Genomic DNA, 15,466 nt, shown 5'->3' on the forward strand with positions numbered 1-15,466 from the left:
AGAAAGATGCAAGTGCGCTTTTACCTGTCCTTCATGAAATGGGGAACCATGACCCCAGAAAAGATGTGGGGTTCCCAAACTTGGAAGGGCATGAGAATAAATCTGGTGGGAAATGTTGGCTAATAGGACACATGGGAACCACTAGCCTAAAATTCCATAAAGGCATTCCCAAGTTTACATCAACATTTTCCTGTCCTCTCAAAAAATAATCAAGGTGGGGAGGTGAGATTTTGTGATGCTAAAACATAGCTTACATTGAGCAGACCTTCCTGAGATCCACCAACACTAATAGAAACTTTGTGACTGAATGCTCTACACAGTACACTTGGGGATGCTTACTTTATCTTATTTGTAAATAAACTTTAAAAAAAAATTGAAGCATAACTTTTTCAAAAGACAAAATTACAGCAAATTTAGTTTAATTGGCTTTTATTTGTGATTCTAGAATAGGGCAACATCTCATTCGGTAAAATAAAATGAGTGTTCTAGTGAGTTGAGCAGAGGGGTTTGGCTTTATAGGCACAAAAGGGTTGAAGAAAATAGAAAAAGGGAACAAAAATCAGATTGGTCATTTCGAAGTTACCTTCCTTATAGGGTTAAAACAGAGGGGATTTCCTTATCATTGTGTTGGCTCAGGTAAACTAGACCCCCTCTGATTGGTGCTGTGAATCTCCTGCTTTTGGAAAACTGCCCCCGATTTCAAAGTTCAGTTTGATTACTTGGCACAAGTGACTATTCTTCTTTGGTCTGGTGTGCTGCAGGCTAGTACAGGAAGCTTGTCCAAAACTATGGCCTCCTATAAACTTTAACAACTTCAATACAGAAAAGTACATGAATTATAAATATGTTGATGAAAATGTATTTTTGTTATTTTTGAGATGGAGTCTTGCTCTGTCACCCAGGCTGGAGTGCAATGGTGCAATCTCAGCTCACTGCAACCTCCACCTCCCAGGTTCAAGCGATCCCCCTGCCCTAGCCTCCCAAGTAGCTGGGAGGCATGCGCCACCACACCTGGCTAATTTTTACATTTTTAGTAGAGACATGGTTTCACCATGTTGGCCAGGCTGGTCTGAACTCCTGACCTCAGGTGATCCGCCCACCTCCACCTCCCAAAATGCAGGGATTACAGGCATGAGCCACCGCACCTAACCAAAAATGTGTTTAAGGAATGATCACAGAGTTATATTCACCTATATAAACCTCCACATGGATCAATAAACATAATATTAGCAATAGGGCACACTTTTCTGATATCACTTGATACCCAGTTGAAAATCCATTCTTGAGTATACTAAGTAGTCCATCTGGATCACATTTAATAGTTACTTCACCTTTTTTCAATTTCTTATAATATCCTTCAAATGGGTTTTTAAAAACCCTAAAAACTCATAGTACAGTTTGAAGTCAGGTAGCGTGAAGCCTCCAGCTTTGTTCTTTTGGCTTAGGATTGACTTGGCAATGAGGGCTCTTTTTTGCTTCCATATGAACTTTAAAGTAGTTTTTTCCAATTCTGTGAAGAAAGTCATTGGTAGCTTGATGGGGATGGCATTGAATCTATAAATTACTTTGGGCAGTATGGCCATTTTCACGATATCAATTCTTCCTACCCATGAGCATGGAATGTTCTTCCTTTTGTTTGTATCCTCTTTTATTTCATTGAGCAGTGGTTTGTAGTTCTCCTTGAAGAGGTCCTTCATGTCCCTTGTAAGTTGGATTCCTAGGTATTTTATTCTCTTTGAAGCAATTGTGAATGGGAGTTCACTCATGATTTGGCTCTCTGTTTGTCTGTTATTGGTGTATAAGAATGCTTTGATTTTTGCACATTGATTTTGTTTCCTGAGACTTTGCTGAAGTTGCCTATCAGCTTAAGGAGATTTTGGGCTGAGACGATGGTGTTTTCTAGATATACAACCATGTCATCTGCAAACAGGGACAATTTGACCTCCTCTTTTCCTAATTGAATACCCTTTATTTCCTTCTCCTGCCTGATTGCCCTGGCCAGAACTTCCAACACTATGTTGAATGGGAGTGGTGAGAGAGGGCATCCCTGTCTTGTGCCAGTTTTCAAAGGGAATGCTTCCAGTTTTTGCCCATTCAGTATGATATTGGCTGTGGGTTTGTCATAGATAGCTCTTATTATTTTGAGATATGTCCCATCAATACCTAATTTATTGAGAGTTTTTAACATGAAGGGCTGTTGAATTTTGTTAAAGGCCTTTTCTGCATCTATTGAGATAATCATGTGGTTTTTGTCGTTGGTTCTGTTTATATGCTGGATTACGTTTATTGATTTGTGTATGTTGAACCAGCCTTGCATCCCAGGGATGAAGCCCACTTGATCATGGTGGATACGCCTTTTGATGTGCTGCTGGATTCGGTTTGCCAGTATTTTATTGAGGATTTTTGCATCGATGTTCATCAGGGATATTGGTCTAAAATTCTTTTTTTGGTTGTGTCTCTGCCAGGCTTTGGTATCAGGATGATGCTGGCCTCATAAAATGAGTTAGGGAGGATTCCCTCTTTTTCTATTGATTGGAATAATTTCAGAAGGAATGGTACCAGCTCCTCCTTGTACCTCTGGTAGAATTGAGCTGTGAATCCATCTGGTCCTGGACTTTTTTTGGTTGGTAAGCTATTAATTATTGCATCAATTTCAGAGCCTGTTACTGGTCTATTCAGAGATTTAACTTCTTCCTGGTTTAGTCTTGGGAGGGTGTATGTGTCGAGGAATTTATCCATTTCTTCTAGATTTTCTAGTTTATTTGCGTAGAGGTGTTTATAGTATTCTCTGATGGTAGTTTGTATTTGTGTGGGATCAGTGATGATATCCCCTTTATCATTTTTTATTGCATCTATTTGATGCTATCTGACTTCAAACTGTACTACAAGGCTACAGTAACCAAAACAGCATGGTACTGGTACCAAAACAGAGATATAGACCAATGAAACAGAACAGAGCCCTCAGAAATAATGCCGCATATCTACAACCATCTGATCTTTGACAAACCTGACAAAAACAAGAAATGGGGAAATGATTCCCTATTTAATAAATGGTGCTGGGAAAACTGGCTAGCCATAGGTAGAAAGCTGAAACTGGATCCCTTCCTTACACACCTTATACAAAAATTAATTCAAGATGGATTAAAGACTTAAATGTTAGACCTAAAACCATAAAAACCCTAGAAGAAAACCTAGGCAATACCATTCAGGACATAGGCATGGGCAAGGACTTTATGTCTAAAACACCAAAAGCAATGGCAACAAAAGCCAAAATTGACAAATGGGATCTAATTAAACTAAAGAGCTTCTGCACAACAAAAGAAACTATCATCAGAGTGAACAGGCAACCTACAGAATGGGAGAAAATTTTTGCAATCTACTCATCTGACAAAGGGCTAATATCCAGAATCTACAATGAACTCAAACAAATTTACAAGAAAAAAACAACCCCATCAACAAGTGGGCAAAGGATATGAACAGACACTTCTCGAAAGAAGACATTTATGCAGCCAAAAGACACATGAAAAAATGTTCATCATCACTGGCCATCAGAGAAATGCAAATCAAAACCACAATGAGATACCATCTCACACCAGTTAGAATGGTGATCATTAAAAAGTCAGGAAACAACAGGTGCTGGACAGGATGTGGAGATATTGGAACACTTTTACACTGTTGGTGGGATTCTAAACTAGTTCAACCATTGTGGAAGTCAGTGTGGCGATTCCTCAGGGATCTAGAACTAGAAATACCATTTGACCCAGCCATCCCATTACTGGGTATATACCCAAAGGATTATAAAACACGCTGCTATAAAGACACATGCACACGTATGTTTATTGCAGCACTATTCACAATAGCAAAGACTTGGAACCAAGCCAAATGTCCAACAATGATAGACTGGATTAAGAAAAAGTGGTACATATACACCATGGAATACTATGCAGCCATAAAAAAGGATGAGTTCATGTCCTTTGTAGGGACATGGATGAAGCTGGAAACCATCATTCTCAGCAAACTATCCCAAGGACAAAAAGCCAAACACCGCATGTTCTCACTCATAGGTGGGAATTGAACAATGAGAACACACGGACACAGGAAGGGGAACATCACCCACTGGGGCCTCTTGTGGGGTGGGGGAAGCGGGGAGGGATAGCATTAAGAGATATACCTAATGTTAAATGACGGGTTAATGGGTGCAGCACACCAACATGGCACATGTACACATATGTAACAAATCTGCACGTTGTGCACATGTACCCTAAAACTTAAAGTATAATTTTAAAAAAACCAGAAAAAAATAAAAATAAAAACCCTAAAAACTCTTGACAAAGGAGATGGAAACTTCCATCTCAATTTCACAGTTTCCTCTAGGGGAAGATCTTGTCCCAGTTACCCTGTTCTTAATCTACTCTAAGGTAGTGCAGACACAGTAAATTACCTCCCTGCTGCATGAGGGCAGATAGGCTGTGACTATATGAAAGTGCCCGACCGAGGGTCACAAGCAGGAATTGAAATTTAGCCTTCTCTACCATTTGGTTCCTTCAACTATCACTTTCTTATAAAAGAGGCTTTGTTTGACTACCGTGGTTAATGTAGTCTCATCCAGTTGCACTCTGGCAGGGATTGCTCTTGTCCACCTATAGCCATCCTCGTCTGGAATTTTAGCTGGACATGTGGCCACAGAGATAGAGACTACATTGCCCAGCTTCCCTTGCAGATAGATGTGTCATGGACTAGAAGTTCTAATCAATAGAATGTGAACAGAAGTGATGTACCCTTAAAAAAATGGGCACATATTCCCACAACCTTTTTCTCCTTTCTCCTAGTTGGAATACAGACAAGATGATAGGAATTGAAGCAACTAGACAACAGAAAAATGGAAGGTTGTAGAGATGTGGGTGACAAAGGCATTCTACATGTGTATTTCACCACCTCCTTCAGACAGTTAAGGAGAAAAGAGGAGGAACCCACTTCCATCTTGTTTAAATGTATTTCCCAGTCTCTTTGTTACAAGTAGCCTAGGCTGTACCTTAACTAAGGTACCCTTGATGTCAAAACATTGTTTCATTTTCTACAGAGTATTTATCGATGATCTGAAATTATCTCATATATTTATGTGCTAAAATGCTTGTCTATCTTGCCGTGACAGAATATGTGCTTCACGAAGGCATGGACTTTGTCTTATCAGCTGCTGCAAGCTTAGTTCTTAGAACTGTACCTGCAATTAAAAATAGGTGCTCAGAAAATATTTGGTGAATAAATTAACTGTTTCCAACTAAAAAGGAAGAGACAGGTGCAGAGGGATCTTAAGTAATTTGCCCAACTTCATACAGCTAATAAGTGGCAAAGCCACATTCTAACTCAGGACCATCTGATATACTTGTTCATTCTGGAATAGCTGAGGGTCTCTTACTTTAGTCATGTGTAAAAGTCACACGGGGGTGTTTGTTAACACACATTACTGAGTAGTAGCTCAGACACACTGACTCAGTAGATCTCAATCTGAGAATCCAACAAGGACCCCAGGTGATTCTGCAGGTGTTCCTCTGACAGAGCTTTGAGAAACATTGCCATGTCCCTATGTCTTATTTAGCTATTCAAAACTCTGCAGGCCCTTAGAATACACATAAAGAAGTTGATGTAATTGGTACAGTACTAAAGGTAAAAATCTGAAACAATATGGATGGATCTCAAAGGCATTATGCTAAGTGAAAGAAGCCAGACATAAGATGACCAATCCTGTATGATTCCATTTACATGACATTGCGAAGACAAAGCTATAGGGACACAAATCTGATCCCTGGTTACCAGGAAAAAGAGATGGAAGGAAGGAATTGATGACAGAGGGGCAGGAGGACCCTGTTGGGGGATATTGAAACAGTCTATTAAGAGATTGCTAAGACTCTGGTGGGCTTATATGACCTCTCACATTTGTCAAATCTCATAAATCTGTACACCTATACTGTGAATTTTACTACATATAAATTATACCTCAATAAACCTGACTTTTAGGCTGAGCACGGTGGCTCATGCCTGTGATCCCAGTACTTTGGGAGGCCAAGGCAGGAAGATCACTTGAGCCCAGGAGTTCAAGACCAGCCTGGGCAATGTAGGGAGACCCTGTCTCTACAAAAAAAGCATCAAAAAATTAGCCAGGCATGGTGCACCTGTGGTCCCAGCTACTTGGGAGGCTGAGGTGGGAGGATTGCTTGAGCCCAGAAGGTGGAGGCTACAGTGAGCAGTGATTGAGCCACTGCACTCCAACCTGTCTCTAAATAAATAAATAAATTTAGAGACAACCCTGTCTCTAAATAAATAAATAAGACTTTAATAAAAAAGAGAATTAATAGGGTAGTTCTAGTTAGCCATAAATTAAACCATAAAGAGAATTTCAATAAATTCCCCACAAATTTCAAAAGTCTGTGCTTTGAAAAACTAATATAACTTGTGTAATTTTTTTTCCAGAGCAATCATTTATGAGAGTGACAAAAATAAAGCCAGAAAGTAGAAGATGTTTTTCCTCTTCTAACTTTCTATTATGGTATTTGATTCACCAGTCATTTTCTTCCCAGGGCCCCCTGGAAATGTACTCTTTAGAAACAAGGCACCTTTGGCAAGAAATAGAAAATCAACTGAAATTGCTCCTGATATAGATCGGTGACTTTGTCCTAGGTATCTCATAAAATTCTATACTAATTAACTCAACAAGCCTTACAAGAAAATGAAGAAACAAAATCATCCTATATTCCAGTTATCCATTGCTGCAAAACAAACCATCCTAACACTTAGTATCTTAAAACAACAATTTATTATCTGTCCTAGTTCTGTGGTGGACGGGGCTCAGCTAGGTGGTCCCTACTTTGATCTCTCATGTGGTTGCCATCAGATAAGACTGAATGTCCAGGATGGTTTCTTCACCCACACATCTGATGCCTCAGCTGGAATAGCTGGAAGAAACAGGGGCTGACTGGGCCTCTCTCTACACCTTTGCCCTATAACCTTTGTACCTGGCTAGGTTGGGCTTCCTCAAAACATGGCATCTCAGCATATTTGGACTTCTTACAGAGCAGCTGACTTGCCTTAAAGTGAGCATTCATTCACACCAGGTTATAGCTGCACAGAATGGAAAGTCACATAGCATCACTTTCATCACATTCTACTGGTGCAGAATGAGTCACAGGGCCAGTCCAGATTCAAAGGGAAGGAACTACATTTCCTTGCTGGTACCAGTAGCAGTGGCTCACTGGGGGACCATTTTCAGAGACTTGCTACCACATCCTAGGAAACTTTTAATTAATTCCATTCATTTCATCAGTGTATTCTTTTTTAAAAATTTATTTTTAAATTTTTTTGTGGGTACATAGTAGGTGTATATATTTATGGAGTGCATGACATGTTTTGATATAGGCATGCAATGCATATTAATCACATCATGGAGAATGGAGTACTCAAGCATTTATCCTTTGAATTACAAACAATCCAATTACATTCTTTAAGGTATTTAAAAATATACAATTAAGTTATTGACTATAGTCACTCTGCTGTGCTGTTAAATAGTAGGTCTTATTCATTCTTTCTATTTTTGTACCCACTAACCATCCCCACCTCCCCCAACCAACTCCCCACCACCCTTCTCAGCCTCTGGTAACCATTCTTCTACTCTCTATGACCATGAGTTCAATTGTTTTGAGTTTTAGATCCCACCAATAAGTGAGAACATGAGATGTTTGTTTTTCTGTTCTGAGCTTATTTCATTTAGCATAATGACCTCCAGTTCCATCCATATTGTTGCACAGACTGGAACTCATTCTTTTCTATGGCTGAATAGTACTCCATTGTGTATATATACCACATTTTATTTATCCATTCGTTGATGGGCACTTAGGTTGTTCCCAAATCTTAGCTATAGTAAACAGTGCTGCAACAAACACAGGAGTGTGGATATCTCTTCTATAGTCAGATTTCCTGTCTTTTGGGTATATACCCAGCAGTGGGATTGTTGGATGACAAAGTAGCTCAATTTTTAGTTTTTTGAGGAACCTCCAAACTGTTCTCCATAGTGGCTGTATTAATTTACATTCCCACCAACAGTGTACAAGGGTTTCCTTTTCTCCACCTCCTCACCAGCATCTGTTATTACCTGTCTTCTGGATATAAGCCATCTTAACTGGGGTGAAATGATATCTCATTGTAGTTTTGATTTGCATGTATCTGATGATCTATGATGTTGAGCACCTCTTCATAGGTCTGTTTGCCACTTGTTTTCTTTTGAGAAATACCTATTCAAATCTTTTTGTCATTTTTTGATCAGATTATTAGATTTTTTTTCCTATAGAGTTGTTTGAGCTCCTTATATATTCTGGTTATTAATCCCTTGTCAGATGGCTAGTTTGCAGATATTTTCTCACATTCTGTGGGTTGTCTTTTCACTTTGTTGATTGTATCCTTGGCTGTGCAGAAGCTTATTAACTTGATGTGATCCCATTTGTCCATTTTTGCTTTGGTTGCCTGTGCTTATGGAATATTGCTCAAGAAATTTTTGCCCAGACCAATGTCTTGGAGATTTTTCTCAATGTTTTCTTGTAGCAGTTTTATAGTTTGAGTTCTTAAGTCTTTCATCCATTTTGATTTGATTTTTGTACATGGGGAGAGATAGTGGTCTAGTTTTATTCTTTTGCATATGGATATCCAGTTTTCCCAGCACCCTTTATTGAAGAGACTCTCTTTTCCCCAATGTATGTCTGGGCACCTTCGTTGAAAGTGAGTTCACTGTGGTGTATGAATTTGTTTCTGGGTTCTCTATTCTGTTTCATTGGTCTATGTGTCTGTTTTTATGCAAGTACCATGCTGTTTTGGCTACTATAGCTCTCTAGTATAATTTGATTATACTAGAGATTGGAGGAATCACATTATAGTATTATAATTTGTTCCAATTTTGTTCTTTTTGCTTAGGATTGCTTTGGCTACTCTGGGTCTTTTGTGGTTCCATGTAAATTGTAGGATTTTTTTTTTCTATCTCTGTGAAGAATGTCATTGGTATTTTGATAGGGATTGCATTGAATCTGTAGATTGCTTTGGATAGAATGGACATTTTAAAAATATCAATTCTTCCAATCCATGAACATGGAATGTCTTTCCATTTTTTGGTGTCCTCTTCAATTTCCTTCATCCATCTTTTATGACTTTCATTATAGAGACCTTTCACATCTTTGGTTAATTCCTAGGTATTTAATTTTATGTGTGGCTATTGTAAATGGGATTACTTTTTAAATTTCTTTTTCACATTGTTCACTATTGACATATATAAATGCTACTGATTTTTTGTATGTTAATTTTGAATCCTGCAACTTTACTGAATTTGTTTATCAGTTCTATTAGTTTTCTTGTGGATTCTTTAGGTTTTTCCTCATCAGTCAATTCTGATGGCTTCTTTTTTTTGGTTTAATTTCCAACCATCTTGATGATCTTTTAACAACTTCATATTTTGCTTCATATACAATTTTGTAAAGAGCTGCCACACACATTTAATTTGATCATCATAACAATCAAGGTAGGCAAGGCAAGAATTTTTTTTTTTTTTTTTTTTGAGACAGAGTCTCGCTCTGTCGCCCAGGCTGGAGTTCTGTGGTGCCATCTCGGCTCACTGCAATCTCCACCTCCCAGGTTCAAGGGATTCTTATGCCTCAGCCTCCCAAGTAGCTGGGATTACAAGTATGTGCCACCACACCTGGCTACTTTCTGTTTTGTTTTTTGTTTGTTTGTTTGTTTTTTGGAGACGGAGTCTTGCTCTGGGGTGCAGTGGCATGATCTCTGCTCACTGCAAGCTCTGCCTCCCGGGTTCATGCCATTCTCCTGCCTCAGCCACCCGAGTAGCTGGGACTACAGGTGCCCGCCACCACGCCTGGCTAATTTTTTGTGTTTTTGTAGTAGAGACTGGTTTCACCCTGTTGGTCAGGCTGGTCTCGAACTCCTGACCTCAAGTGATCTGCCCACCTCAGCCTCCCAAAGTGCTGGGATTACAGGCATGAGCCACTGCGTCCAGCCTCCTTAACTCTTTAATACATGGAGACAGTTCTCAGGTAAAGAGGCAAGGCAGGGGGCTGGTACAATTTGTGGACTAAGCAATTTGAAGGGTGCCACGTGTCATAATAGGCTGCTCACAAAATGTTCATCACTAGAAAAAGAAAATTCTAATATATGTTCTTAAATGACTTGAAATTTTCTCCCAAGAAAGAAAAAGCCAGAGAATAAAGCAATCACACTAAGCCTCCAGTGCTCAGGTGTTGAGTAGACACAGCGGAACATTGCCATGCTGCAGGATAGGTGCAACCAGGCAGCCAGGCCCTGCCTTTCTCTGTGGGACTTTGAGCAAGTTTTTGCACCCTCTCTGTGTCTCAGTTGCCTTATCAGTGGAAAAGGGAATAATGTCAGCACCTACCTTGCAGGGTTGCTCTGAGGATTAAATGGGTTAAAATATGGAATAGTGCTTATAGCAGTGTCTAGCACAGAGTATGCACTATATAAGTGTTTGCAGCTGTTATAGTCAAAATGGAAAGGTGGAATGGAAATATCCTTTGAAAGTCTACATAGGCCAGGTGCAGTGGTTCACACCTGTAATCCCAGCACTTTGGTAGGCCAAGGTGGGTGGATCACCTGAGGTCAGGAGTTCAAGATCAGCCTGACCAACACAGTGAAACCCTGCCTCTACTGAAAATAAAAAATCTAACCAGGCATGGTGGTGCATACTTGTAGTCCCAGCTACTCAGGAGGCTGAGGCAGAAGAATTGCTTGAACCCCAGAAACAGAGGTTGCAGTGAGCAGAGATCGCGCCCCTGCACTCCAGCCTGGGTGACAAAGCGAGACTCCATCTCAAAAAAAAAATAAAAAATAAAAAAATTTTTTTTAAAAGTCTATATAAAATCAAGGAAGTTATACAAAAAAACAATTTTGGGTGAGGTTGTTATCTAGAAGGTTAGTAAACACTGGTCTTTATAAGGATATCTTCTGATTTCTAATGTAGCCACTCCTAGAGAACACAATTTTTTTAGCAATTACTACTTATGGATGTAAGAGTGAACTTTCATTAGTCGACCTTATCAAACAGTCCAGAATGTTGTTAAGAATGTTAATATATTGCCACATGCAAGGGCTGAAGAAAATGAAATAATGTTAAGAAATAAGAATATTGTTTCCAGCTATTAATAATTCATGGTGCTGCAGAATCTTGAATCTATCACTAAAAGGCATAAGTCTAAGTGAAAATAGCGTTGCTCTTGCATTCCATTGTATTATAAAGCAATAAATATATTTAGCACTGGATGTTATGAAGAGTTTTTCTGTATTCCAAAGTATAGCATATCTTTGGATGAAGCCAGCCTGAAAACTTAGGATTGGTCCTATCCTGAGATACAGATAGGCATTCTCAGTCTTCTCCAGTGGGATGAGCAGATAGGAAGGACCAGTGTCAAGAATCTGACTTGCTCTGGGAGGTTGCATGGGTGCAGAAGGACCACCCGGAAGGGATTGGTCCAGCTGCCCAAATGAAATATTTGAAGCGTGTGTGTGTGTGTGTGTGTGTGTGTGTGTGTGTGTGTGTGTGTCCAGCTGGTCTATCTTATAAACCAGATCAAATTACAGTATCAAACACAGCCTAAAACAGCATTTTAGGAGGCCGAGGTGTGTGGATTTCTTGAGCCCAGATGTTAGAGACCAGCTGGACAACATGGCAAAACCCCATCTCCATAAAAAATACCAAAAAAAAATTAGCTGGGTGTGGTGGCATGCACTTGCAGTCCCAACTACTTGGGAGGTGGATGTGGGAGGATTGCTTGCACCCAGGAGACGAAGGCTGCAGTGAGCCATGATCATGTCACTGCACTCAGGCTGGGTGACAGAGTTCAGAGCCTGTCTCAAAAAAATAGCAATAGATGAACATACATGCATGTTTATATAATACATAGATAGATATTAGTGTAAATGTATAACACTGTGTGAAGAATGAAGCTTTAGTCCCCTTAAATACACGGATGAGTATGACTTGCTCCCTGCTTCAAGGGGCTGGTGATCCAGCAGGGATCACAGATGTGGAGCAGGTAATCTAACCAGATATGCAATGCAACAGGTGCCAGGCTTGTGGGGGCCCAGAGAGGTTGCACCCAGATGGATGAGTCTTCTAGATCCCATTACCTTCTTCACAAGGTCTTTAGAGCCCAAAGCCAAATGACAAAGTAAGGGGGAGGGGCACGGAAAGGCCCTCAGCAGCGGAACTTACCGGAGAGGGGCACGGAGAGGCCCGCAGCAACAGAACTTCCGGGGGAGGGGCACGGAAAGGCCCGCAGCAGCGGAACTTCCGGGGGAGAGGCACGGAAAGGCCCGCAGCAGCGGAACTTACAGGAGATCAGACAGAAGCGGAAGTGGTTTCGTGCCCTTCAAGTTAGATTATCTAGATACTCATCTTTCCCCTCCATGAAAAATGACTCATTCTTAGTACATTTATGTGTAAAATTGCTTTGGATTTTAAGTGCATGGAAGACCAGGATCATGTCACACTAATGTGTATTGCACAGCATGTGACATAGAACTGAGTTGAAACAGTGCTTAGCACATAATTTTTGGAGATGACAGAGATATGACCAGGCAGAACTGTCCTCAGGACACTTTCTAAAGTACATCAAAGTACTCTGGTTCCCCCAGCCCATCCTCTTGACTTCTTGTACTCATTCTCTCCTGTCCCTTGGCCGTCTCTATGTGGCCTTCTAGCTTCTTAGAGCCTCCTTGCTTTGGGTCTCACCCACACCTGACACCCTTGCCAAGACCGCTCTAAATTAGCCTTTCCTCCCCTCTCCTACACCTGTCAAACCCCTCTCTCATCTATCCACCAGGGGGAGGGCTATATTATTAAACTAACACTAATGTATGAAAGCCCACATTGCTAGCTTATTGTACTAACTATCTCAAGAAAATTTAATTTTTAAAAGAGGTGCTTTCAAATTTCAATAAGCAAAGGCTTCAGCTGAGATTATTTTCTTCTTGCATTCCTAGCCCTCTCAAGTTATGCCTTCGGCAAACTGCTTCTCTAAGTGCTAACCCAAGCTGGCCCTTAGATGCATTTGTTATGTTCAAGTGCCCTCTGGAGGCAAAAACAGTCTCCTGTTAGATGAAAGACAGGCCTGCCAAAGACCCACAAATGATTGGTCCCTGTACTGTGGGGTTCATTCATTCCTTTCCATCTTTCTTTCTGCAGGTCCAGCACAGCCTTGCCTTGGGGCCTTCAGCTTAGGCACGGAATCTTCTTTGGCCTGGAATAGCCGTCCCAAAGACTGTCCCATGATTGGTTCCTTCACACCATCTGCTTTAGCTCAGCAGGGCTTTCTCAGGAGTACATCGCATCTAGCCAAGCCGACCTTCCCGCTCTGTCATGTCGGGCCGTTTCCTTGCCTTCTTGCACACAGCACTATCTGAAATAATCTCCTTCCAGTCATTCAGCACATTCATTGAGTGCCTGCTCGTATGCCCTGTCTTATGCACTTGGGATAGATCAAGGTACAAATGCAACACCTTCTCTACCCTGGTGGAATTTACAGGCCTTGTGAATTACATTGTTTCCTTTTTCATCATCCGCCTCTGGCTAAAATGTAAGCTCTAGGGGAGCAGGGACCTCTGTCAGCCTTGTTCTCTACTTTTTCCCAAGAGCCTAGAACTGTGTCTGGTACATCCTTCATGGTCAATCAATATTTGTGGAATGAATAAACAAATGTTTATATTAACCAGGCACAATGGCTGAGGGGAGAGGATAGCTTGATACCAGGAGTTCGATACCAGCCTGAGCAACATAGCAAGACCCCCGTCTCTAAAAAATAAAAATGTTTTATATTTTCTATCAGGATACACAATTAACATTTTAAACTTCTTTTGCTGTGACAAAGTTAATTCATTCCATTATCACAACTATAAAAAATGAGGCAAACTATATACCTCATTGTTATTCAAATGATCAATAGCAATAATAGCATTTATTGACCACTTACTAAGTACTAGAGGCTGTAATAAGTGCTTTATATGTATCATCTCATCTTCACAAATTTTTCTGAGGCAAGTAACACCATTCTTCCCTTTTTTTTTTTTTTTTTTTTGAGACAGAGTCTCGCTCTGTTGCCCAGGCTAGGGTACAGTGGCCCATCTCGGCTCACTGCAACCTCTGCCTCCCTGGTTCAAATGATTCTTCTGCCTTGGCCTCCAGAGTAGCTGGGACTACAGGTGCATGCCACCACGCCCAGCTAATTTTTTTTGTGTGTGTGTTTTTAGTAGAGACGGGGTTTCACCATATTGGCCAGGCTGATCTCAAACTCCTGATCTCATGATCTGCCCACCTCAGCCTCCCAAAGTGCTGGGATTACAGGAGTGAGCCACCACACCTGACCCAGTCTTCCATTTTTAACATGAGAAATTTGAGGCTTACAGGAGCTTCTCACCATCACAAGGTCATCTTCTGGGGACTGGATAGTCAACCCAGAGTCCATGCCGTCAACCTCCTCCACACAGCCACGTTCAAATCACGATGTCTGCATTACTCAGCGGCTCCCTCTACCATCCTCTAAAACTCTACACTCTCTTAGCAGGGCCTGTGAGACCCCTCAAGATCAGCTCTGCCTCCTTTGCTGGTCTCCTTCCCATTACCTCTCCTCCTACCCTGACTGGAGCCCCTGTAGCTCCTGGACACGGTCATGCCTTCCCCTACCTCCTTGCAATCCTATGGTGTGCTCCCTCCTTCTGCCCTGCCTAACTCCTACTCCTGCTTCAAGACTCAGCTCTTGCCACCCCCCCAGACCCTTTCCTGGCGCTCTGGGCTAGGTTCTGTGCCCATGCACTGCTGCTCCCAGCTCCCTGTGCCTGGCTCTGTGATTCTTAGTGAATGGAATGAGGTGTGGCTTTTCATCTCCAAATTTCCAGGGCTTAGTTGGAACAGAGAGGTTGGCAAAATGAATGATGGAGCATTTGGGAATTGGCCATGTTTTACAATTTTAGACACAGTGAGGAAAAGAATACTATTGTAAATAAGACGGTTAGGGCTGGGCACAATGGCTAACACCTGTAATCCCAGCACTTAGAGAGGCTGAGATAGGAGGATCATTTGAGACCAGGAGTTCGACACCAGCCTGGTCAACATAATGAGATTCCGCCTTCTTTATAAACAAACACACAAACAAAATAATTTAAAAATTAGCCAGGTGTGGTGGCACATGCCTATAGTTTCAGCTACTTAGGAGGCTGAGGCAGGAGGATCATTTGAACACGACAGCTCGGGGCTGCAGTGAGCTATAATCAAGCCACTGCACTTCAGCCTGGCCAACAGAGTGAGACCTTGTCTCTAGAAATAAATAAATTAATAAAATAAAATAAGAGGGTTAGAATGTGGCCCATGGGAGTCCTCAAAGGTGCAATTGCATGAAGCTGAGAAGCAGCA

General features: G+C 41.2%; 1 long non-coding RNA gene across 3 annotated transcripts in view, besides 4 other annotated features; it reads left to right on the forward strand.

Moving 5' to 3' along the window:
- TPTE2-AS1 (TPTE2 antisense RNA 1) overlaps positions 1-13,774 on the forward strand; it is a 27,157-nt gene extending 13,383 nt beyond the window's left edge. Inside the window, exons 1-2 of one of the 3 annotated variants that reach the window (NR_172898.1) lie at positions 12,355-12,668; positions 13,247-13,774. This is a non-coding gene — a long non-coding RNA (TPTE2 antisense RNA 1). Of the gene's footprint in view, positions 1-12,354; positions 12,669-13,246 lie in introns of those variants that run through there. The other 2 variants (NR_046988.2, NR_172899.1) reach the window with 2 other exon arrangements.
- Positions 12,301-12,481: a silencer, noted in NCBI's record as "fragment chr13:20161162-20161342 (GRCh37/hg19 assembly coordinates)". NCBI's record gives its function as "represses an EF-1alpha promoter that drives an FKBP-Casp9 reporter gene in an ReSE screen in K562 erythroleukemia cells {active_cell/tissue: K562}" and the evidence as "EXISTENCE:reporter gene assay evidence [ECO:0000049][PMID:32094911]".
- Positions 12,572-12,621: an enhancer, noted in NCBI's record as "active region_7403". NCBI's record gives its function as "activates an Ori minimal core promoter by ATAC-STARR-seq in GM12878 lymphoblastoid cells {active_cell/tissue: GM12878}" and the evidence as "EXISTENCE:reporter gene assay evidence [ECO:0000049][PMID:35858748]".
- Positions 12,812-13,031: an enhancer, noted in NCBI's record as "active region_7404". NCBI's record gives its function as "activates an Ori minimal core promoter by ATAC-STARR-seq in GM12878 lymphoblastoid cells {active_cell/tissue: GM12878}" and the evidence as "EXISTENCE:reporter gene assay evidence [ECO:0000049][PMID:35858748]".
- Positions 13,362-13,431: an enhancer, noted in NCBI's record as "active region_7405". NCBI's record gives its function as "activates an Ori minimal core promoter by ATAC-STARR-seq in GM12878 lymphoblastoid cells {active_cell/tissue: GM12878}" and the evidence as "EXISTENCE:reporter gene assay evidence [ECO:0000049][PMID:35858748]".
- Positions 13,775-15,466: the final 1,692 nt, after the last annotated feature.

Source organism: Homo sapiens, chromosome 13 (genome assembly GCF_000001405.40).
Source record: "Homo sapiens chromosome 13, GRCh38.p14 Primary Assembly".
NCBI classification, from domain to species: domain Eukaryota; kingdom Metazoa; phylum Chordata; class Mammalia; order Primates; family Hominidae; genus Homo; species Homo sapiens.